General features: G+C 40.0%; 1 protein-coding gene across 11 annotated transcripts in view, besides 1 other annotated feature; it reads right to left on the bottom strand.

The window, feature by feature from the left end:
- The window catches only part of PAN3 (poly(A) specific ribonuclease subunit PAN3), a 157,143-nt gene that overhangs the window by 129,816 nt on the left and 3,739 nt on the right, over positions 1–23,588 (bottom strand). The gene's annotated exons all lie outside the window — the stretch shown is intronic.
- Positions 20,574–20,868: an enhancer, noted in NCBI's record as "tiled region #9463; HepG2 Activating non-DNase unmatched - State 19:H4K20, and K562 Activating non-DNase unmatched - State 7:EnhWF". NCBI's record gives its function as "activates a minimal TATA promoter and a strong SV40 promoter by Sharpr-MPRA in HepG2 and K562 cells {active_cell/tissue: HepG2 | K562}" and the evidence as "EXISTENCE:reporter gene assay evidence [ECO:0000049][PMID:27701403]".

The following is a 23,588-nucleotide window of genomic DNA, read 5'->3' as shown; positions in this document are numbered from 1 at the left end:
TTGCCCAAAGTCACAACACTAGTAAATGGTACACGTGGGACATAAAAGTGATCTTGCTACTATACTAAACAGTCTTTCAAATTTTTAAAAGAAATGGGGCCAGGCATGGTGGCTCATGTCTGTAATCCCAGCACTTTGGGGGAGGCTAAGGTGGTATTATCACTTGAGCCCAGGAATCCAGGACCACCCTGAGCAACATAGCAAGACCCCCATCTCTACAAAAAAAAAAAAAAAAAGGATATATAAGTATAAATCAAGAGACAAAATTTCAAACTTTGGACCAAAGGATCCTATACCTAATGAATCAGAACTTCGGCTGGGCACATTAGCTCACGCCTGTAATCCCAGCACTTTGGGAGGCCAAGGCAGGAGGATCACAAGGTCAGGAGTTCGAGACCAGCCTGACCAACATGGTGAAACCCCGTCTCTACTAAAAATACAAAAATTAGCCAGACGTGGTGATACATGCCTGTAGTCCCAGCTACTCGGGAGGCTGAGGCAGGAGAATCACTTGAACCTGAGAGGCAGAGGTTGCAGTGAGCTGAGATCGCGCCACTGCGCTCCAGCCTGGCAACAGAGTGAGATTCGGTCTAAAAAAAAATAAGAACTTCTCCATCTGTCAGCAGTTACCCCATGACTATTAACAGATAAATGTACACAATTATAACCTACTTTTTAAAAAAATCCAATCCTGCAGCTTAATTTTCTTCTTCAGACTTAACCCCTCTTAATGAATTGAGTCTAATTCTCCAAAAACATCATACTAGAGCAGTGTTACTCAAAAGGTCATCTATGGTCAAGAAACTTGGAAAATTCTGGGGGAAAATGAGTAAAAACAAGTAAACCCATTTCTTTACTGTACAACTTCCCAGGATGTGTGTATACAATGTGAACTGTGATCATCCAAAAAGAAGTCAGAGTACTTCCCAAATTTACTTGAGTAGGGAACCCTTTCTACATGGAACATCTTCAGAGACTAGAGTTCCATCATAGAAGACATTTTCCAAAAAGTACCCAGCTACAAGTGCCAAGTAGGGCATTACAGAGAAGATGCTGGCGATGCTCACGCTAAAGGATGAAATCCAAACTTCTTAGTTTGACATTAGCATATCCTCAACAATTTGTTCTCAACTATCATGCTAATACTTCTAAAAGGTGCTGAGTTTGAGTCTTGGTTCTGCCATTTACTGGCCACAAAGTCTTGGGCAAAATGCTTATAAGATGCAGATTATGCCATGAATTATAAAATGAAAATCATACCATCTACCAAGAAAACTTCAATTAAGAGTTATGAAAAACAATATCTTAAAGTTATTTTAAAAAACTGTATAACTCTATACAGTTATTAAAAATAACTGAATTGTACTTATAATAGGTGAATTTAATAGCATGTAAATTACATTTCAATAAAGGTTTTGGTTTGGTTTTGTTTTTGAGACAGCTCTGTTGCCCAGGCTGGAGTGCAGTGCCACAATCTCAACTCACTGCAATCTCTGCCTCCCAGGCTGAGGAAATCCTCCCACCTCAGCCTCCCAAGTAGCTGGGACTACAGGCGCACACCACTATGCCTGGCCAATAAAACTTTTCGTTTAATTAGTAGAGGAAAAGGGGGATTATTCAGTAAATGGACTTAAGACAACTGAGTATCCATCTAGGGAAAAAACTGAATACCTTACACCAATATTTACAAAAGATTAAAGATCATGGCGTAAAGTAATAAAAGTATACATCTACTGTAAGATCTTTACAAGAATCATATAACGATTGAACTTTCTCCTCCAGTTACAATGATATACTCATTATATGCTTAAAATCTCCCACACTTTACCATCTGGAGTATAATCAATTTCTAATATACATACTCAAGACTCAGGTATGATGAGAAAGAAAAAATACTTGGAGTTACACATTGAGTTTGGGTCCTACTTGTGCCATTTACATACTATATGAGCATGAGCAAGTAACTGTAAATTTCATTTCTTCATCTGAAAAAAGAGGTTAAATACCATCTCACTCATAGGGTTGTGGTGTGGAATCAAATGAAATAATCTATGTAAAGTGCCTAGTATGTTTTCTAACAGGTCATCATAAACATTATTTTTTAATTTGCCCTTCTCTAGAAAGTATTCCCCAATTATTCCAAGCTGTTAAAACCTTTACCTCTTAAGATACTATTTATATCACTCATTTGAGAAAAAAAAACTTCCTTTTGACTTTTTATTGCTGTCTTCAACTACAGTATTTAAGCCTTTACATTTTCAGGTATTTCTGTACTATCTACTAATGTAAATTATCTTATCTTTGTTTTGTTTTGAATTTATTTTTTATTATTTTTTGTAGAGACAGGGTCTCATTATGTTGCTGGTCTCGAACTCCTGGGCTTAGGAAATTGAGGCTGCAGTGAGCTGTCATCATACCACTGCACTACAGCCTGGGTGACAGAGCAAGATGCTGTCTCAAAAAAAAAACTTCCTGGGCTCAAGTGATCCTCCTGCATTGGCCTCCCACAGTGCTGAGTTTACAGGTGTAAGCCACTGCATTCGGCCTTAAATTATCTGTAACTACACTGTATGTATCTGTAATTATGCACACCTTTCACTTTTTGGTACTCCTTAATCTAATAGCACATTTTTGTTAGGTTTTTTTTTTTTTAAGCTTGGTGGCAAGTTGTTATTTTTGAGAAAAAGTCTCCCTCTGTCACCCAGGCTGGAGTGCAGTGGCATAATCAGCTCACTGCAGCCTCAAACTCCTGAATTCAAGCAATCCTCCCTCCTTGGCCCCTCAAAGTACTGGGACTACAGGCATGAGTTACTGAGCCCAGCCTAGCACATTTGTACAAACTTTTATTTTCAATTAAATGCTTTTTTTTTTTTAAGGCAGAGTCTCACTCTGTTGCCCAGGTTGGAGTGCAGTGGCGTGATCTCAGCTCACTGCAACCTCCACCTCCTGGGTTCTACAGGTGTGCGCCACCACGCCCATATAATTTTTTGTATTTTTAGTAGAGGTGGGGTTTCGCCATGTTGCCCAGGCTGGTCTCAAACTCGTGAGCTCATGCAATCCACCCGCCTCGGCCTCCCAAAGTGCTGGGATTACAGGCATGAGCCACGGCACCCGGCTGATTGCCTCCACTTTTCCAATGAGGAAACTGAGACCTCAGAGATGCCAGATGACAGTACAGTGAGTGCAGGCCCAAGAAACAGGGGCTCCTCTACCCCCTCAGCAGATACTCACACCATCCTTTTCTTTATCGGATTGTGGAATGAGCATAGACTTTTAACAAATACTGACCATGAGGTCTGTTTCAGCCAGTTGCCAACTACTAACCTTCAACAGTATACTTAAGTCTCAGTTTCTTCCTCTGTAACACTAAAACAGTAGCATCTACTTTCCAAGGTTGTTGTGTTAATTCAGTATACTGGCATGCCCAGTTGATATTAGGTGCCAAATCTACTTATTTATTTGCAAAAAGTAGCCTGCTTTTTCTGATGAAACACTAATATGCTCTTTGTAATAGAGTGTGTTAGGAAAAACTTTCCATGTAGGTTTTTCTCTTTTTAATTTTAAAATAAATGATAAAAAGGTAGGCTGGAATATTTTACACATCTGTTATAAAACCCACAGAAGCTGTCTGTAAAACAAGACTCAAATCCAAAGCAGGTGGACAAGACATACTGTCTGTTTGAAGAGCTGGAACTCCCTCGAAAGTTCACAAACCAAGGAAAAAGTCAAACTGTCAGAAAACAGCAATTAATGACTATAAACACTGTGCTTCCTGCCCTTATGATAAAGCTTCTGTGGAGACAGTCATGAAGAGAACAAGTTCAAATTCTCAATTCTCTACCTAACTCCGAAGCTCCATAAGGCATTTCAGGTTATTATCTCATTTGTTTAACCACACAACTGTTAGAAGTTCAACTGTCCCTCCCAACCCCCACCACATTCCTATGCTGAAGTCTTAATCCCCTGTACCTTGGAATGTGACCTCATTTGAATATAGAGTCACTGCAGATATAATTAAAGATGAGGTCATTAGGGCAGTCCTAATCCAGTATGACTGGTGACATTATAAAAAAGGGAAATTTGAACACAGATGCACACAAAGGGAAAACATCAAGTAAAGATGACAGGAGTGATTGGGAAGATGTTTCTACAAGCCAAGAAATGTCCAAGATTGTCAGCAAACCAAAAGCTAAGGGGAAAGACATGGAACAGATTATCCTCCACAGCCCTCAGAAGAAGGCAATCCAGCCAACACCTTGATCTTAGACTTTCAGCCTCCAAACCTGAGACAATAAATTTCTGTTGTGTAAGCTCCCCGCCCCCGAAAACATACAATAGAGCCACATAATAAAAGATTAAATATAGATTAAACTAAAAATACAGGTTAATAAAAATATTTCAGTCAAACATTAAGCTCAGACATTTTGAAACAGACAAGATAAAAAAAGGGAAAATGGAAGTTTAAAAATTGCTTGCTTAGTAAAATAACAAATACCAATTTGTTTGAGCAAAAACCATTTTTCCTAGTACTAAACTATTCGAAGAAATTATTACAAGGATTTTTCCATAAAGAACATTGAACACCATGACATCTTCAAGACAACTGAAAGATTTCTTGAAACACTTTTTATATTTATTCTCAATAGAAGTACAGAAAAGAATATTATGCCACAACTAAAGTGAGGTAATTCCATAAAGAACTAACGATATAGTTCAAGTACTTAACTTTCCAGCAATCTAAATAGATCAATCTCTCCCTCTTAAACTCTCATCCATTTACTGTGAAACATTCAACCCTAGTTCTGATAAATTAGATAAAATAATACCAAGTGTTACTTATTGACAGGTTTATATGCACAATCCCAACAGTTCTTTAAGATATATATGGTTATTTCTCATTTTAGTGAGTGTCAGAGTTGAGATTTAAAGCCTTATTTCAAACATTTCAAAAATCACTATATTCATCTCACTCAATCCTAATCTCCTAACTCACATTTCCAACTGCCTATTACTAAAAGTCTCTAAGACATGTGACAAGTACTTTAAAACTAAAAACTTAGTTATCCTTGCCTCCCTTCTCTCCCTTATGCATCCCAAGTAGCTGCTTCACCAAATCTCTCTAAAATGTGCCCCCTCTAATTCATTTCCACTGCCCTAAACCATGTCCTTAGCGTTACTCCCTTTAACTATCATAAAGACTGTTCCAAATGATTTCCCCATTTCCATCCTTAGAAGTCAAAAAAGCCTACTATAGTTATCTTTTCAAAATAAAGAGTAAAGCCGGGCACAGTGGCTCATGCCTGTAATCCCAACACTTTGGGAGGGGGACGCAGGTGGAACACCCAAGGTCAGGAGTTTGAGACCAGCCTGGCCAACATAGTGAAATCCCATCTCTACCAAAAATACAAAAATTGGCCAGGCGTGGTGGCGTACACCTGTAACCCCAGCTACTTGGGAGGCTGAGTGAGGCAGGAGAATCACGTGAACCCAGGAGGCAGAGGTTGCAGTGAGCCAAGATCACACTACTGCACTCTAGCTGGGTGATAGAGCGAGACTCTGTCTCAAAAATAAAAAATAAATATTAAAAAAAAAAAACCTTTTATTTCAGTTTCAGGGGTATACATGCAGGTTTGCTACATGGGTAAATTACATATGGCAGGGGTTTGGTGTACAGATTATTTTGTCACCCAGATAATATGCACGGTACCCAATGGGTACTTTTCCCTTCCTCACCCTCCTCCTACTCTCCCTGCTCAATAAGTCTCCAGTATTGGCCAGGTGTGGTGACTCACACCTATAATCCCAGCACCTTGGGAGGCCAAGGTGGGAGGATCACCTGAGGTCGGGAGTTCAAGACCAGCCTGACCAACATGGTGAAACCCCATCTCTACTAAAAATACAAAATTAGCCGGGCATGGTGGTGCATGCCTGTAATCCCAGCTACTAAGAGGACTGAGGCAGGAGAATCGTTTGAACCAGGGAGGCGGAGGTTGCAGTGAGCCAAGATTTGTGCCATTGCACTCCAGCCTGGGAAACAAGAGCGAAACTCCATCTCAAAAAAAATAAAAACAGAAGGCTCCGGTGTCTATTGTTCCCTTCTTTATGTCTATGTATACTCAATATTTAGTTCCCACTTATAAGTGAGAACATGTGGTATTTGGTTTTCTGCTACTGCGTTAGTTCATCTAGGATAATGACCTCCAGCTCCAACCATGTTGCTGCAAAGGACATTATCCTGTTCTTTTTCATGGCTGTGTAGTAGTCCATGGTGTACATGCCCCAAATTTTCTTTATCTGGTCTACCATTGATGGGCATCTAGGTCACTTCCATGTCTTTGCTATTGTGAAGAGTGCTGCAATGAACATATTCATGCGTCTTTATGACAGAACAACGTATATGCCTTTGGGTATACACCTAAAAATGAAATTGCTGGGTCAAATGGTAATTCTAAGTTCTTTGAGAAATCATGAAACTGCTTTCCCCACTAGCAGTGTAGAAGTGTTCCCTTTTCTCTGCAACCTCACCTGCATCTGTTATTTTTTAATAATAATCATTCTGACTGGTATGAGATGGTATCTCAATGTGGTTTTGATTTGCATTTCTCTAATGATTAGTGACGTTGAGCTTTTTTTTTTTTTTCTGAGATGGAGTCTTGCTCTGTCACCCAGGCTGGAGTGCAGTGGCGCGATATCCACTCACTGTGAGCTCCGCCTCCCGGGTTCACGCCATTCTCCTGCCTCAGCCTCCTGAGTAGCTGGGACTACAGGCGCCCACCACCACACCCAACTAATTTTTTGTATATTTAGTAGAGACGGGGTTTCACTGTGTTAGCCAGGATGGTCTTGATCTCCTGACCTCGTGATCCACCTGCCTCCAGCCTCCCAAAGTGCTGGGATTACAGGCGTGAGCCACCACGCCCAGCCAATGTTGAGCATTTTTTCATATGCTCATTGGCTGAGTATATGTCTTCTTCTGAAAAGCGTCTGTTCATGTCCTCTGCCCAGTTTTTAATGGAGTTGTTTTTTGCTTGTTAATTTAAGTTCCTTATAGATTCTGGGTATCAGACCTTTGTCAGATGCACCATTTACAAATATTTTGTCCTACTCTGTGGGTTGTCTGCTTACTCTATTGATAGTTTCTTTTGCTGTGCAGAAGCTCTTTAATTAGGTCTCATTTGTCAATTTTTTGTTGTTGTCGCCATTGCTTTTGGCATCTTCCTCATGAAATCTTTGCTGGGGCGTATGTCCAGAATGGTATTTCCTAGGTTTTCAAGGGTTTTTATAGTTTTAGGTTTTACATTTAAGTCTTTAATCCACCATGAGTTAATTTTTTGTATATGGTGTAACAAAGGTGTCCAGTTTCAATCTTTTGAATATGGCTAGCCAGTTATCTCAGCACCATTTACTGAACAGGAACTCCTTTCCCCATTGCTCGTTTTTGTCAACTCCGTGGAAGATCAGATGGTTGTAGGTGTGAGGCTTTATTTCTGGGCTCTCTATTCTGTTCTATTGGTCTATGTCACTGTTTTTGTACCTGTACCACGCTGTTTTGATTACTACAGCCTTGAAGTATAGTTTGAAATCAGGTAATGTGATGCTTTGCTCTTTTTGTGTAGGATTGCTTTGGCTATTCAGGCTGTTTTTTTGGTTCCATATGAATTTCAGAACAGTCTTTTCTAATTCTGTGAAGAGTGTCATTGGCAGGTTGATAGGAAAAGCATTGAATATTTATTTTGTTTTGGGCAGTATGGCCATTTTAACAATATTGATTCTTCCTATCCATGAGCATCGAATGTTTTTGCATTTGTGTCATCTCTGATTTATTTTAGCAGTGTTTCCTAATTATCATTGTAGAGCTCTTTCACCTCCCTGGTTAGCTGTATTCCTAGGTATTTTATTTTTCACGGCTATTGTGAATAGGATTGCATTCTTGATTTGGCACTCAGCTTGGATGCTGTTGGTGTATAGATATGCTACGGATTTTTGTACATCAATTTTGTATCCTGAAACTTTGCTGAAGTTGTTTGTCAGATTTAGGAGCTTCTGGGCAGAGACGACGAGGTTTTCTAGGTATAAAATCATATCATATACAGAGATAGTTTGACTTCCTCTCTTCTTATTTGGATACCTTTTATTTCTTTCTCTTGCCTGATTGCTCTGGCTAGGACTTCTAGTACTATGTCGAATAGCAGTGTTGAGAGTAGGCATCCTTGTCTTGTTCCAGTTCTCAAGCTTTTGCCCATTCAGTTATGATGCTGCTGTGGGTTTGTCATACATGGCTCTCATTATTTTGAAGTGTGTTCCTTCAATGCCTAGTTTATTGAGGGTTTTTAACATGAAGGGATGTTGAATTTTACTGAAAACCTTTTCTACATCTATTGAGATGATAATATGGTTGTTTTTAGCTCTGTTTATGTGACGGGTAACATTTATTGATTTGTGTATGCCCGACCAGTCTTGCAACTCAGGGGTAAAGCCTACTTGTTCATGGTGATTTAGCTTTTTTTTTTTTTTTTTTTTTTTTTTTGACAGGGTCTCACTCTGTTGCCCAGGTTGGAGTACCATGGCCCAATCTCAGCTCACTGCAACCTCTGCCTCCCAGGCCCAAGCCATCCTTCCACCTCAGCTTCTCAAGTAGCTGGAACTACAGGTGTGTGCCACCACACCCAGCTAATTTTTTAAATTTTTTGGTAGACATAGGTACTCACCATGTTACACAGGCTGGTCTTGAACTCCTGGCCTCAAGCCATCTACCTGCCTTGGCTACCAAAGTGCTGAGACTACAGGCCTAAGCTACTGCTCCTGGCCTGGTGGACTAGCTTTTTGTTATGCTGCTGGATTCAGTTTGCTAGTATTTTGTTGAAGATTTTTGCATCTATGTTTATCAAGGATATTGGCCTGAAGTTTTCGTTTTTTGTTGAGTCTCTGCCAGGTTTTGGTATCAGGATGATGCTGGTCATTGAATGAGATAAGGAGGAATCCCCTCCTCTTCCATTTTTTTGAATAGTTTCAGTAGCAATTGTACCAGCTCTTTATATTAATATGTCTGGTAGAATTCAGCTTTGAATCCATTTGGTCCTGGGCTTTTTCTGGTTGGTAGGTTTTTTATTACTGATTCAATTTCAGAATTCATTATTGCTCTGTTCAGGGTTTCAATTTTTCTCTAGTTCAATCTTAGGAGGTATATTTCCAGGAATATATCCATTTATTGTAGGTTTTCTACCCTACATGCATAGAGGTGTTCATAATAGTCTCTGAGGGTTTTTTGTATTTCTGTGGGGTAGGTGGTAATGTCCCCTTTGTCATTTCTGACTGTGTTTATTTGGATCTTCTTTTTTCTGTATTAGTCTAGTTAGCAGTCTAGCAATCTTATTTATTATATTAAATAACCAACTTCTCTTTTCACTGATCTTTTGTATGGTTTCTTGCACCTCAACTTTATTCAGTTCAGCTCTGATTTTGGTTATTTCTTGTCTTCTGCCAGCTTTGGGGGTGGTAAAACACAGATCTTATCATATCACTTACTAGCATATCCTAGAAGGGCCTTCACAACGTGGCCACAGCTTATTATCTGGTACCACTCTCCATAATTGGCCTATTCTCTAACCACATCAGATGACTACAAAACTATGAATAGAGCTTCCTCTCAAAATCTGTGTCTTTTCTCATCTACCTAGAATGCCCTTTTCTACCAGGTATGTATGCCTCATACATCTTTCGAAAAATATTTCAAATATCACCTCTCAAAATATCCCTGAATAGAGTTTGTTATACATTTTATGTATATGTGTGTGTATATATGAGATGTGTATATATATATATCATACTATGTCATAATTTATAATGTCAAACTCCTTTATTAATCTATGCACTCACAAATGACCAGGGCCATGTCCGATACATCTTTGTTTTTTAATTTTTATTTTTTTTCGAGATGGAGTCTCACTCTGTTGCCCAGGCTGGAGCGCACTGGTGCCATCTCAGCTCATTGCAGCCTCCACCTCCCGGGGTCATGCAAATCTCCTTCCTCAGCCTCCCAGTGGCTGAGAATACAGACACATGCAACCACACCTGGCTAAATTTTTGTATTTTTGGTAGAGACGGGTTTCACCATGTTGGCCAGGCTGGTCTCAAACTCCTGACCTCAAGTGATTCACCCGCCTCGGCCTCCCGAAGTGCTGGGATTACAGGCCACTGTGTCCGGCCTGATATGTCTTTGTATTCCCCAACATCTATATGATACCTAGCACAAAAATGTTAAATATATGTTTAATAATTAAATTACATTCTCTAGTCAGTGCCTAGAGAACACATATACTACGTCATTTAGTAAACAGTGAGTTACCTGCAGAGGTATCAGACCTCCAGGGAGGAAAGTTAACATTGTTTTAAAAACCGCAAAGTCGCCGTGCGCGGTGGCTCACGCCTGTAGTCCCAGCACTTTGGGAGGCCAAGGCGGGTGGATCACGAGGTCAGGAGATCGAGACCACGGTGAAACCCCGTCTCTACTAAAAAAAAAAAAATACAAAAAATTAGCCGGGCATGGTGGTGGGCGACTGTACTCCCAGCTACTCGGGAGGCTGAGGCAGGAGAATGGCGTGAACCCGGGAGGTGGAGCTTGCAGTGAGCCGAGATCGCGCCACTGCACTACAGCCTGGATGACAGAGCGAGACTCCGTCTCAAAAAAAAAAGAAAAGAAAAAAAAAAAAAAACCTGCAAAGTCAGGCCGAGTGTGGTGGCTCACACCTGTAATCCTAGCACTTTGGGAGGCTAAAGTGGGTGGATTGCCTGAGGTCAGGAGTTCGAGACCAGCCTGGCTAACATGACGAAACCCTGTCTCTACTAAAAATACAAAAAATTAGCTGGGCGTAGTGGAGGGCACCTGTAATCCCAGCTACTTGGGAGGCTGAGGCGGGAGACTCACTTGAACCCTAGAGGCAGAGGTTGCAGTGAGCCAAAATCGTGCCATTGTACTCCACCCTGGGCGACAAGAGTGAAACTCTGTCTCAAAATAAATAAATATATAAAAAATACAAACTGCAAGGTCTATCTGGCAAACTGGCTCTTAAGGAAGTTGTCATATCTATGCACCAAGATAGCCACAGCAAGGCCTATAGTAAGAAAAAAAAAACCAAAAAATCCCGAAACAGAAATTTTAGATGAATCAAGTGGCTTAACGACAGGTACCCAGCTGAGATCCCACTGTTTCACTGGAGTGTATACAGTACACTATTTTGACCTGAACATGTTTATGATATGCATTATTACCTAGCCTCTTCAATCAGAAAAGAACTGCAGTGCAGTAAGACTCTGGTAAAAACAGCTGATTCTGGGGAGTGCTGCAATACCATACACATTCCAAGATGAACTTACTACAAACTTGAATATCAACAACTAAATAAATTGGGTTCTTGGGTGAAGCTATTTAGTATCATCAATCTGAATACTCACCGAAAAATATCCTCCAATAAAGCAGTTTTAGTTTGAGATCTATGCCAAGATAATTACTATTTTCTACATAATCGAAAGCTGCCAATAAAGCAATAAATGGCCTAAAAAGTTTTCCATTATTGTTTTCTAGTAATGCGGCTAGAAATTTAATAACAGAGAGAAAATTTTATTTCTAAAACCAGCTTACTTGTCACATAAAGTATCAGCTTAAGATCATCCAAACCCATGGATGAGCTCAGAAGGCTAATGCTGAATTTTGGAGAAACTAGCAAACCACATGCATTTCCAATTATTTTGCTAAATCTTGTAGTAAGCTAGCATCTGGAGGGTTGGGTTTGGGTTCGTCTTTTGTACGTGTGTATGTTAGTTATCTTTACTGATTCTTTTTCTGATTATAAGAGACTTGAGGAAAAAATATTCAGAAATACAGAAATCGAAGTTTCCCATCATGCCACCACAGAAATACTAACATTAACAACTCAGTGCTGTCTCTAGATCTTTTCTTCTTACATATCTTTTAAAAGTGTATTACGACTGGGGATGGTGGCTCACACCTGTAATTTCAGCACTTCTGGAGGCCAAGGCAGGAGGACAACAAGGTCAAGAGATTGAGACCATCCTGGCCAACATGGTGAAATCCCATCTCTACTAAAAAAAATACAAAAATTAGCCAGGCATGGTGGTGGGTGCCTATAATCCCAGCTACTCGGGAGGCTGAGGCAGGAGAATCGCTTGAACCCAGGATGCTGAGGTTACAGTGAGCCGAGATCGCGCCATTGCACTCCAGGCTGGCAACAGAGCGAGACTCGGTCTCAAAAAAAAAAAAAAAAAAAAAAGCGTATTATACATAGTTTTGTAACTTCTTCTTCCTATTTAGTAATATATTTTAAGCATCTTGTCTGTATATAAAACTCTTGTTTTTACTGCTGTATGATATCCTGCTATATGGATAACACCCTTACTAACGGGAATTTCACTATTTTCAACTTTTCCCTACGTCAGATCAGCTGCGTTGAATAACTCTGTACATATATCCTGTGTTTCCATAGAATGAGTCTAACAATAAACTATTGTGCCAAAGGATGTGGACATCTTAAATTTTAATGAATACTGACCTCGAAAAGCGTCATACCAGAGTGTCTTTTCCCCCCCATACCCACACAAACACTAGGTATCAACAATCTTTGTGCTCTTATCAACTTGAAAGGTAAAACATAAATAAGTGAATGCCTGTTTTAATTTGCTTTTATTCACTTGTTAGGAACTTTTATATACCTATTGGCCATTTGTATTTCTTCTGTAAACTGCCAGAGTTTTCTGAAGGGCTGTCATTTTTTCAAACGGGACATTTATCTTCAGCTCCATGCTAACCTAACCATACAAAGGTAGCTAATTAGAATAATCTAGCAAACACTGAATGTTCGTCTCACAAAAGGACTCAACTGTAATAAGATACACATTTTTTTTTGTTTTTTGGTTTTTTTTTCATGGAGTTTCACTCTTGTTGCCCAAGCTGGAGTGCAATAGCGCCATCTCGGCTCACTCCAACCTCCGCCTCCTGGGTTCAAGCGATTCTCTTGCCTCAGCCTCCTGAGTAGCTGGGATTACAGGCGCCCACCATCACGCCCAGCTAATTTTTGTGTTTTTAGTAGAGACACGGTTTCACCAGGTTGGCCAGGCTGGTCTCAAACTCCTGACCTAAGGCGATCCACCCCCCTCACCTTCCCAAAGTAGTGGGATTACAGGCATGAGCCACAGGGCCCAGCCTCTGACTTCAATTTCTTAAGGTCATATAGCAGGGGATAGAGAGAGGATTTGTAATTGTTTGCTTATTAAAACTAGCCTTTTTTTTAAGGGCTAGTTTTAACCTGTCAAATGAAAACAGTATCTATCTCATGAAATAGTTATTAAATGTGATGGGATAGTGTATGCAAATATATATATGGCATGACTGGCACATATGTAGAACCCAAATGTTACTTACCTATTCTTTCTTTCTCCTAAGAAAAAGAAAATAGCCTACTGATTTATCAATAGATTTGTGTTTCCCAAGTTCTTATAGAAGCCATATTCCTTGGTGAACTCATACAGTTCCATGATTTTAAATGCCAAGTATACACTGAAGACTTGAAGTTTATCATCTCCAGTCCTAATCTCTCTCAAGAACTCCAGACTTGTATCTACCTAACTCCTCAAAATCTCCACTTGAATGGCTAATATATCTCTCAAAGTAACATGTTCAAAACCAAACTCCTGATCTGCTCTCCCATATTTGCTCTGTCTGCAGCCTTCCTCATCTCAGCTGGCATCAAGTCCATCCATAACCTTCCACACTCTTGAAACAAACCCTTGACTCCTCTCTCCAATGCCCTACATTCCAAGTGAAATTATATTGGCTCTACCTGGAAAACATGTCTGAAATCTGACTAGTTCTTGCCATTTTCAATGCTGTAACCTGCCTAAACCACCATCATCTCATCATCTCTTGCTGGATTACTGCAAATAATCTCCTAAATTCTCTCTTGCCCTCTTGCCACAGAACTTTTTTTTTTTTGAGACAGAGTCTGGCTCTGTCACCTAGGCTGGAGTGCAGTGGCACAATCCTGGCTCACTGCAAGCTCCGACTCCCAGGTTCATGTGATTCTCCTGCCTCAGCCTGCCGAGTAGCTGGGACTACAGGTGCCCACCACCATGCCCGGCTAATTTTTTGTATTTTTAGTAGAGATGGGGTTTCACCGTGTTAGCCAGGATGGTCTTGATCTCCTGACCTGGTGATCTGCCCACCTCGGCCTCCCAAAGTGCTGGGATTACAGGCATGAGCCACAACACCTGGCCCACAGAACTCTTTTAAAACCTTAGATTCTATCACTCCTTTTGACACAAAATAAAAGCAAAAATCCTAATTCTTCCCTGTTCCTCACTCCACACCAACCTATTAGCCTTCTATCCCTCTGCCTGAGATACTCTTTCTCCTGATGACTGGCTTGGCTATCATTCTCCAGTCTACACTCAAATTTCAACCCCAGTGAGGTTTACCTTGATATCCCTATTTCATTCTATAACAACCCTATTCCTACACTCCCATTGCCTCTTACTCTATTACCTTTTTGTTTTTAGTAGGACTTGCCATCTTTTAACATACTATACAATTACTGGGGTTATATTTATAAATACTGTCTGCTTTACCCATTAAGAGGTAAGGTCCACAAAAGAAGGGATTTTTCTTTAATCTATTTGGTTCACTAAGATATCCTAAGAACCTAAAACAGTACCTAACAGAGTAAACACTCAATAAATGTTTATTAACCAATTAAATGAATTAATCTCCATTTATTATTAGCCCAAATTACACTAAGCTGAATGCTTGTCATAATCTAAGTTTTTCAAAGATATTACCTATATATACATTAAATCTTTTTTTTTTTTTTTTTGGAGACAGAGTCTCGCTCTGTCGCCTAGGCTGGAGGGCAGTGGCGTGATCTCGGCTCACTGCAAGTTCTGCCTCCCGGGTTCATGCCATTCTCCTGCCTCAGCCTCCCGAGTAGCTGGTACTACAGGTGCCCGTCACCGCGCCCGCCACCACGCCTGGCTAATTTTTTGTATTTTTAGTAGAGACGGGGTTTCACCATGTTAGCCAGGATGGTCTCGATCTCCTGACCTCATGATCTGCCCGCCTCGGCCTCCCAAAGTGCTGGGATTACAGGCATGAGCCACAGTGCCTGGCCCACATTAAATCTTTTTATAATATATATCATATCTGAGGACCTCGCTAAAAATTTTCTTTAAATGCTGCCTTACTAATTTTCCAAAGTTTTGGGAGTAGGCAGAAGATTCCCTGTCCCATCATGTATCAAGGAGGCTTCAGAGATAGCTGACATATTGTCACAGCATCTATGAACCATAAAAACTGACTTATGGAATTTAAAAGCCCTCATTCCATTTTGTCCTTCTTCACCGTGATCTCATCTCTCAATCAAGTATACCATCAAATTCAGGAACATCAGTATTACAGCAGAGTAAACTTAGAGGAGCAAAATAAGAAAGTTAAAATAAAGATATATAAAGTCCTTTCCAGCTTTTTCCAACTATATAACTGCTGTATTTGATATCTCTAAAAGCAGCGTAAGATATCTATATAAAGAATGTAGGCTTGGCATGGTGGCTTATGCCTGTAATCCCAGCACAACACTTTGGCCAACTAAGGTGAGAGGTTCACTTGAGGCCAGGAGTTCAAGACCATCCTGGGCAACACAGCAAGACCCTATCTCTACAAAAAATTTAAAAAATTAGTCAGGTGTGGTTGCCTGTCCCTGTAGACCTAACTACTAAGGAGGCTGAGGCAAGAGGGTAACTTGAGCCCAGGAGTTCAAGGGTGCATGCAGTGAGCTACAAGTGTGCCACTGCACTATAGCCTGGGTGACAGAGCAAGACCTCTAAAAACAAAGCAAAACAAACAAAACATGAATGTAGATCGACTAGTAAATAATCAATAACAATATAATTTTATTACATACCCAAATGAAACTTTCTAGCGACTACTAGGCTACTTACAAATATGAACTTATTAAGTTACCAAAGACGCGATTTATGTAACTATTTCTAGATATGTGAGCCATTGGGGAGAAAAATTTTACCGGGGCAGATATGAATGAATATTTCAAGTATCTTATTTTCAACCAATGGTATATAAATACAGTGAGTTTCTTTTTTCTTTTTTGTGGAGACAGGGTCTTGCTGGAGGGCAGTGGCATGATCACGGCTCACTGCATCCTCTACCTCCTAGGTCTCCTGGGTTCAAGCAATCCTCTCACATCAGCCTCCTGAGTAGCTGGGACTACAGGTGCACCACCAAGCCTAGCTAATTTTTTTTATTTTTAGTAGAAACAGAGTCTCACTACATTGCCCAGGCTGGACTCAAACTTCTGAGCTCAAGTAATCTTCCTGTCTCGGCCTTCCAAAGTACTAGGATTACAGGTATGAGTCGCCACACCCCACACAGTGTTTTTTTTTAATGTATCAACTGTGAACCAGATTACTGAAGACTCTATATGCTCCTTAAGTATATATCACATAATTGTGTAAATATATATGTAAATAAATATACATAGTACATTAAAACATAACTTTGTGCCAACATTTGTAATAGCAAGACTATAAACCACTAAAATATCCATTATAAAGAATCTAATAATATAAACATATAATGGAATATTTACACAGCCACGAGAAAGAATAAAGTAGATTTCTATGTGCGAATGTGGAACAAACTACAAGATAAGCCATTAGGTAAGAAAATTCAGAGTACATTAGGCTTCCATGTGTGCACTCATGCATATGTGTATATATGTGTGTTAATGTGTTAGACATAGAGAAATATAAACATATGAATAATAGTATAGGCAAAGAATATTTGTCAGTGGCTACCCCAAATAAGCTAGAAAGAGTGTCTCTGGGAGACAGGGATCAGGTAACTAGGGAGGGAAGGAGGCTATTTTTCACTATGTACTCTTTTGCACTATTTAAATTTTTAACCTGTGCATGTATTACATTTCTAATTCCAAAAACAAGATATTGTTCTTATTTTTCTGACACTGGCATTTTTTTAAATATTAAAAATATATAACCAGGCATGGTGGTACATGCCTGTAGTCCCAGCTACTCAGTGGACTGAGGAGAGAGATTTGCTAGAGCCCAGGAGTTCAACGCTGCAGCGAGCTATGATTGTACCACAGTACTCCAGCCTGGGCAAATGAGCAAGACCCCATCTCTAAAAAATATATATATACAAACACACACGCTATAATTTAAAACTAGCTTTAGGCAGGGTGTGGTGGTCTTTAATTCCAACATTCTCGGAGGCCAAGACAGGAGGATCACTTGAGCCCAGGAGTTAGAGAACAGCCTGGGAAACACAGGGAGACCCCATCTCCACAAAAAATTCAAAAAGGAGCTGGACATGGTGGCTTATGCCTGTAGTCTCAGCTACTTGGGAGGCTGAGGCAGAAGAATCGCTTGAGCCCAGCAAGTCGAGACTGCAAAGAGCTGTGATCACACCACTGCACTCCAGCATGGGAAACAGAGCAAGACTTTGTCTCAAAAAGAAAAGAAAAAAAAATCAAACTAGCTTTAGAAAAATAGGAACAGTATCTTTATTTTTTACAGAAAAAGCAAGAGAGAGAATGCCAAAAGAGGTATCAGAAAAGACAAAGCTTTTTTCAGGGAAGAGGGCTATTACCTACATGCCAACTGACTCAGCCAGGATTAGTGAGATCTGCATACCCTTACTTAGACAATTCCCAACTGACTATGATGGTTTGACTTTATGATGATGTGAAAAATGATATGAGTTCAGTAGAAACCATATTTCAGATTTTGAGGTTTAATCTTTTCCCAGGTTAGTGATTCGTGGTATCATACTATGTCACAAAGTTGCACAATGGCAGCAGGCTACAGCTCCCAGTGAACCACTCAATTAGGAGGGTAAACAACTGATACAGTATACTGTGCTGTCAGGTAATTTTGCCCAACTGTAGCTAATGTAAGCATTCTGGGCCTATTTAAGGTAGGCTAGGCTAAGCTATGATGTTTGATGGGTTAGGTGAATTAAACGCATTTTCAACTTAACAATAGTTTCTACTTAACAAGGGTTTTATTGGGATGTAACTATTTTAAGTCAGTACTGTTATGTCAAAAATGCGTTTAATGCCTGAATAAACTCATCCTAAAGTCAAAAACTGGAAGTCGAATCATCGTAAATCTAGATATTCCTTAGACTTATGGATGGGGCTACATTCTGATAAATGAATTGTAAATTCAAAATGTGGGGACCATCTGCAAAGAAATGTATTTTCACACAGACCGAATGACTAGCCAAAGGCTAGTTTTATTTTGTAAGAAACCGCAATAAAATTAAAATTTCGGTCCAGTACTAATTACTAAGTACTGAAATGAGACACAAACATATATTGATTTGTTGGTAACAATGTTTTGGTCGATAACAAACCAAATGTATGACGGTGATCACATAAAACTGTAACACTATATTTTTACTGTACCTTTTCTATTTTTTTCTTTTCCTTTTTTTTTTGAGACGGAGTCTTGCTTTGTCACCAGGCTGGAATGCAGTGGCACGATCTCAGGTCGCTGCAACCCTGCAACCTCTGCCTCCCGGGTTCAAGCAATTCTCCTGCCTCAGCCTCCCTAGTAACTGGGACTACAGGTGTGCTCCACCACGCCCAGCTAAGTTTTTGTATTTTTAGGAGACAGGCTTTCTCCATGTTGGCCAGGATGGTCTGTATCTCTTGACCTCATGATCCGCCTGCCTTGGCCTCCCAAAGTATCAGGATTACAGGTGTGAGCCACTGCGCCTGGCCTGTTTAAATGTTTTAATACACAAATACTTACCTTTGTATACCACTGCCTAAAGTATTCAGTACAGTAACAGGCTGTACAAATTTGTGGCCTAGAAGCAACAGGTTATAGACCATATCACCTAGCATGCAGTAGGCTATACCATCTAGGTTTGGGTGCTCACATACCTAGATAATATAGCCAGGAGAGAGCCCTCACCAGGAACCCAACTCCTCATCTGGGACTTCCAACCTCTGAAAGTCTGAGAAAATACTTTTCTGTTATTTAAACCACCTAGCCACTCAAGTTCCTGGATCTATGGGGGGAGGAGGGGCAGGGGGAAGTTAACTACCCAGCCTATAATATTTTCTTTTGGCAACCCAAGCTAATATGAGAGAGAGAGAGAGAGAGAGAGAGACAGAGAAAGAGGAAAAAATATATATATTTAGGTATATATGGTATACATATATTTTAATATATATACTAGATATATGTCTATACCATACAATGTGTAGAAAAGATCTAAACACACAGACTATTAATAATGATTAACCCTGGACAATAAGATGAGGAGACTGATTTATTTTGACTTTATACACTTCTATTCCAATGTAAATTTTTACCAAAAAAGTGTACCTTTCATCATGTAAAAACTGAGGGCCAAGCATGGTGACTCACACCTGCAATCCCAGCACTTTGGGAGGCTGAGGCAGCCTTGAAGTTAGGGGTTCGAGACCAGCCTGGCCAACATGGTGAAACCCTCATCTCTACTAAAAATATAAAAATTAGCTGGGCGTGGTGGCGCAAGCCTGTAATCCTAGCTACTCAGGAGGCCGAGACATGAGAATTGAGAATCACTTGAACCTGGGAGGTGGAGGCTGCAGTGTGCCAAAATTGCGCCACTGCACTCCAGCCTGGGTGACAGAGGGAAACTGTCTCAAAAAAAAAAAAAAAAAAAAAATTAGCTTGGCACGGTGGCTTCCACCTGTCACCCCAGCTACTTCAGAGACCAAGGCAGGAGTATTGCTTGAGGCCAGAAGTTCAAGGCCAGCTCGTCTCCTTAAAAAAAAATTAAAAGTTAAAAACAAATTAGGCTAGGCACAGTGGGTCACGCCTATAATCCTAGCACTTTGGGAGGTCAAGGTGAGCAGATTGCTTGAGGTCAAGAGTTTGAGACCCGCCTGGCCAACATGGTGAAACCCTGTCTCTACTAAAAAGGCAAAGAAATTAGCCAGGCACGGTGGCATGTGCCTGTAAGTCCAGCTACTCATGAGTCTATGGCATGAGAATTGCTTGAACCCAGGAGGCGGAGGTTGCAGTTAGCAGAGATCACACCACTGCACTCCAGCATGGGTGATAGAGTGAGACTCTGTCTCAAAAAATTGTCAAAAAAAAGTCAAAAAATTGAAAGCCAAACCATTAAGTTAGGCACGATCTGTAATATGTACACACATACACACACACACGCAAGTGCAAATAAGACCGTGGAAATGTAAACAAGTAGACTACAGCAATCAATACTGGCCATGATACTGTACTACAGCTACAAAAGATGTTACTATCCTTTATAAAAGAAGAGTACATGAGATATCCGTATTGTATCTTACAATTTCGGGTGATTCTATAATTATCTCAAAATAAAAAGTTCATTTAAAATTGGGGGAAAAATTCCTCAAAATGGCATATAAAAGGATGATATTGGGCCAGGCGCGGTGGCTCACGCCTGTAGTCCCAGCGCTTTCGGAGGCTGAGGCAGGTGGATCACGAGGTCAGGAGTTCAAGACCAGCCTGGCCAAGATGGTGAAACCCCATCTCTACTAAAAATACGAGAATTAGCCAGTCGCGGTGGCAGGCTCCTGTAATCCCAGCTACTTGGGAGCTGAGGCAGGAGAACCGCTTGAACCTGGGCAGCAGAGGTTGCAGTGAGCCAAGATGGCGCCAGTGCACTCCATCCTGGGCTACAGAGTGAGGCTCTGAGGAAAAAAAAAAAAAAAAAAAAAGATGATGTTTTGGTTTGCTTTTGATAATCATTTATCTTCTTAAAGGGTCATTTCAAATGCACTTTCAGTCTATGATCATACCACTCTGAACACGCCCGATCTCATCAAATGCACTTTTACAGGAAAAAGTGCTTTATTTGTTAACTCAATCTCACCTGGAGTTACGTTATCCCTCGAGTTTTCCTCATAAAACTTATCGAAACCGGCCGGGCCCAGTGGCTCACGCCTGTAATCCCAGCACTTTGGGAGGCCGAGGCAGGTGGATCATGAGGTCAGGAGATTGAGACCATCCTGGCTAACACGGTGAAACCCCGTCTCTACTAAAAATACAAAAAAATTATCTGGGCGTGGTGGCGGGCGCCTGTAGTCCCAGCTACTCAGGAGGCTGAGGCAGGAATGGCGTGAACCCAGGAGGCGGAGCTCGCAGTGAGCCGAGACTGCGCCACTGCACTCCAGCCTGGGAGACAGAGCGAGACTCCATATCAAAAAAAAAAAAAAAAAAAAAAACAAAAAAACTTATCGAAACCAAGTATTACCTTATAGATATTTATAGCCCCACTAGAATGTAAACTCCATTAGGGCTGAATTATGTTTTTTTGTTGCTGTTGTTGTTCCTATCACCTTAATCAGAGCTTACCACCTTGGAAGCAGGATATTAAATGAGTGAAATGAACAGTATTATAAAGCCTTCATGATATACTAAGTATATTATTCCAATAAAAATGTTTAAACTTATGCCAGCTATCCTAACAGCAAATCGCCAGTACTCACTTCTCTGTCACTTAGTATAGGTTTGTGGGATGAAAAGGCTAGTCTTGGCTTAAACAAAAACAGCTTTGCCACACGCTACACATTACATATTCCAAAGCTAACATTTGAACTTCAAGTTATCCATGGCACTGCTCTCCTCCATTTGGACAATCACAATTCAATAATCTGTAGCTATTTTACTAGTCTTCAATGTATGCCCTCAAAAATTTGAAGAAGGAAATACAGAGGTTAACTATAGATTATTAATATTTAATAATAGCAATAACTAAGACTGAAACCTCAATATGTGCAGGCAATGCCATGCAATTTTCATAACATCTCCATTTTCCAGATGAGAAAAACTGAGGCTTAAAGGTTAAAAATTCGTTCAGTCACAAAGCTAGTCAAAGAGCCAGGATTCTATCTGAAACATGTCTTATTCACTAGTAACTACATTAGGAGAATTGAAAAGTGTATTTTGGTAAATTAAAACTACTGGGTTTCAAATAATGTACATAAAATACAAATATTGGCATATTTTACCTGTTAAAAATTGTACACTTTGAAGATTAAAGCCATTTTGAAAATCTAGCCAGTTGAAAATATTAGAATTACATCATTAAATGTCAAGAATCGATAATGCAGTTGAATACAAATCAAATCACTCTTAAGCCTTAGAAAAATCCCAAGACTAACAGAAATACGAAATGTTACGTAAGCTACATGGTACGGCATACCTGTAGTCCCAGCTACTCAGGAGGCTGAGGTGCTAGGATCACTTGAGCCCAGGAGTTGGAGTCCAACCTAGACAACACAGCAAGAACTCCCAACCCCCTCCTCAAAAAAAACAAAAACAAAAACAAAAACAAAAAATCAAATTGCAGTTTCCTTATAAGGTTGAAACATCATTGCAACTAAGTGTATTAAGAAAAAGCCTTTGTGCTTCAGTTTTCCAATGGCTGCAAAATAAAGATAAAGTTTTCTCATGCACCCACCTCCAAGGTTTTAACACTATCTGAAACACCAACAAAACAAAAACAATTCTGCAAATGTGAAGTGCTAAAGTTAGAGTCAAAACCTCAAATGCCTAGATATAAAAGTCATCCAGTTAGGGAATGAGTCAAAATGGAGAGAATTATGCTCTATCAACAGCTCTAATTCCAACACAGGTAAGAGACATCCTTAAAGGGAAACCAGAAATTTGTACTTCTATATTAAATCTTTTGTTTCTTTTGTTGTCAAATGATTCAATCAAAACCCACAAACATAGAAATTAAAAACACTAAATTATGGTATATATGGTGGCTCACAGGGTAGGCAGATCGCTTTGAGCCCAGAAGTTTGAGACCGGCCTGGGCAACATGGGGAAACCTCATCTCTACCAAAAATACAAAATAATTAGAGGTGCTTGGTAGCCAGTGCCTGTGGTCCCTGTCTCAAAAAAAAAAAAAAAAAAATTGCCATCTATTTTAACTGCCTCACACACATAATTAACCAATGAAGGCCAGATGTGGTAGCTCACACCTATAATCCCAGTACTTTGAGAAGTCAAGGCAGGAGATTGCTAGAGCCCAGGAGTTCGAAACCAGCCTGGACAACACAGCAAGACATCATCTCTTCAAAATAAAATAAACGGATCAATACTGTCTCAAAACACACTGAATGAGAATACAGTAAAAGGTAGAAAGCAGTCTAAAAAATGAACAATAAGTGTAAAAACTCAAAAAAGCCATACAATTACCAACACAACCTTTTTTCCTGATTCCTGAGCAACATTATTTCCCACTCCTTGGTATCTCTCAGTAATACCTAGGTTGTGATTCCTTATGAAGAAATCTCCATCCATAAGGAATTACTGAGAGATACCAAGAAGCCTATCACAGAAAAGAGGAGCCTTAGGCTTCAGCCAGACAAGCTAAAGCAAACACCACAGAATCTAAATACATAAATCAACTATTTAATCAGACAACTTTTACTAACAAGTGACAAAGTATTAATTTTAAAATACCTTTTCAGCATTAACTGCCTGTCCTCTCG

The sequence above is a fragment of the Homo sapiens genome, chromosome 13 (assembly GCF_000001405.40).
Source record: "Homo sapiens chromosome 13, GRCh38.p14 Primary Assembly".
Classification (NCBI taxonomy): domain Eukaryota; kingdom Metazoa; phylum Chordata; class Mammalia; order Primates; family Hominidae; genus Homo; species Homo sapiens.
This window is presented reverse-complemented; position numbering and strand designations above follow the sequence as displayed.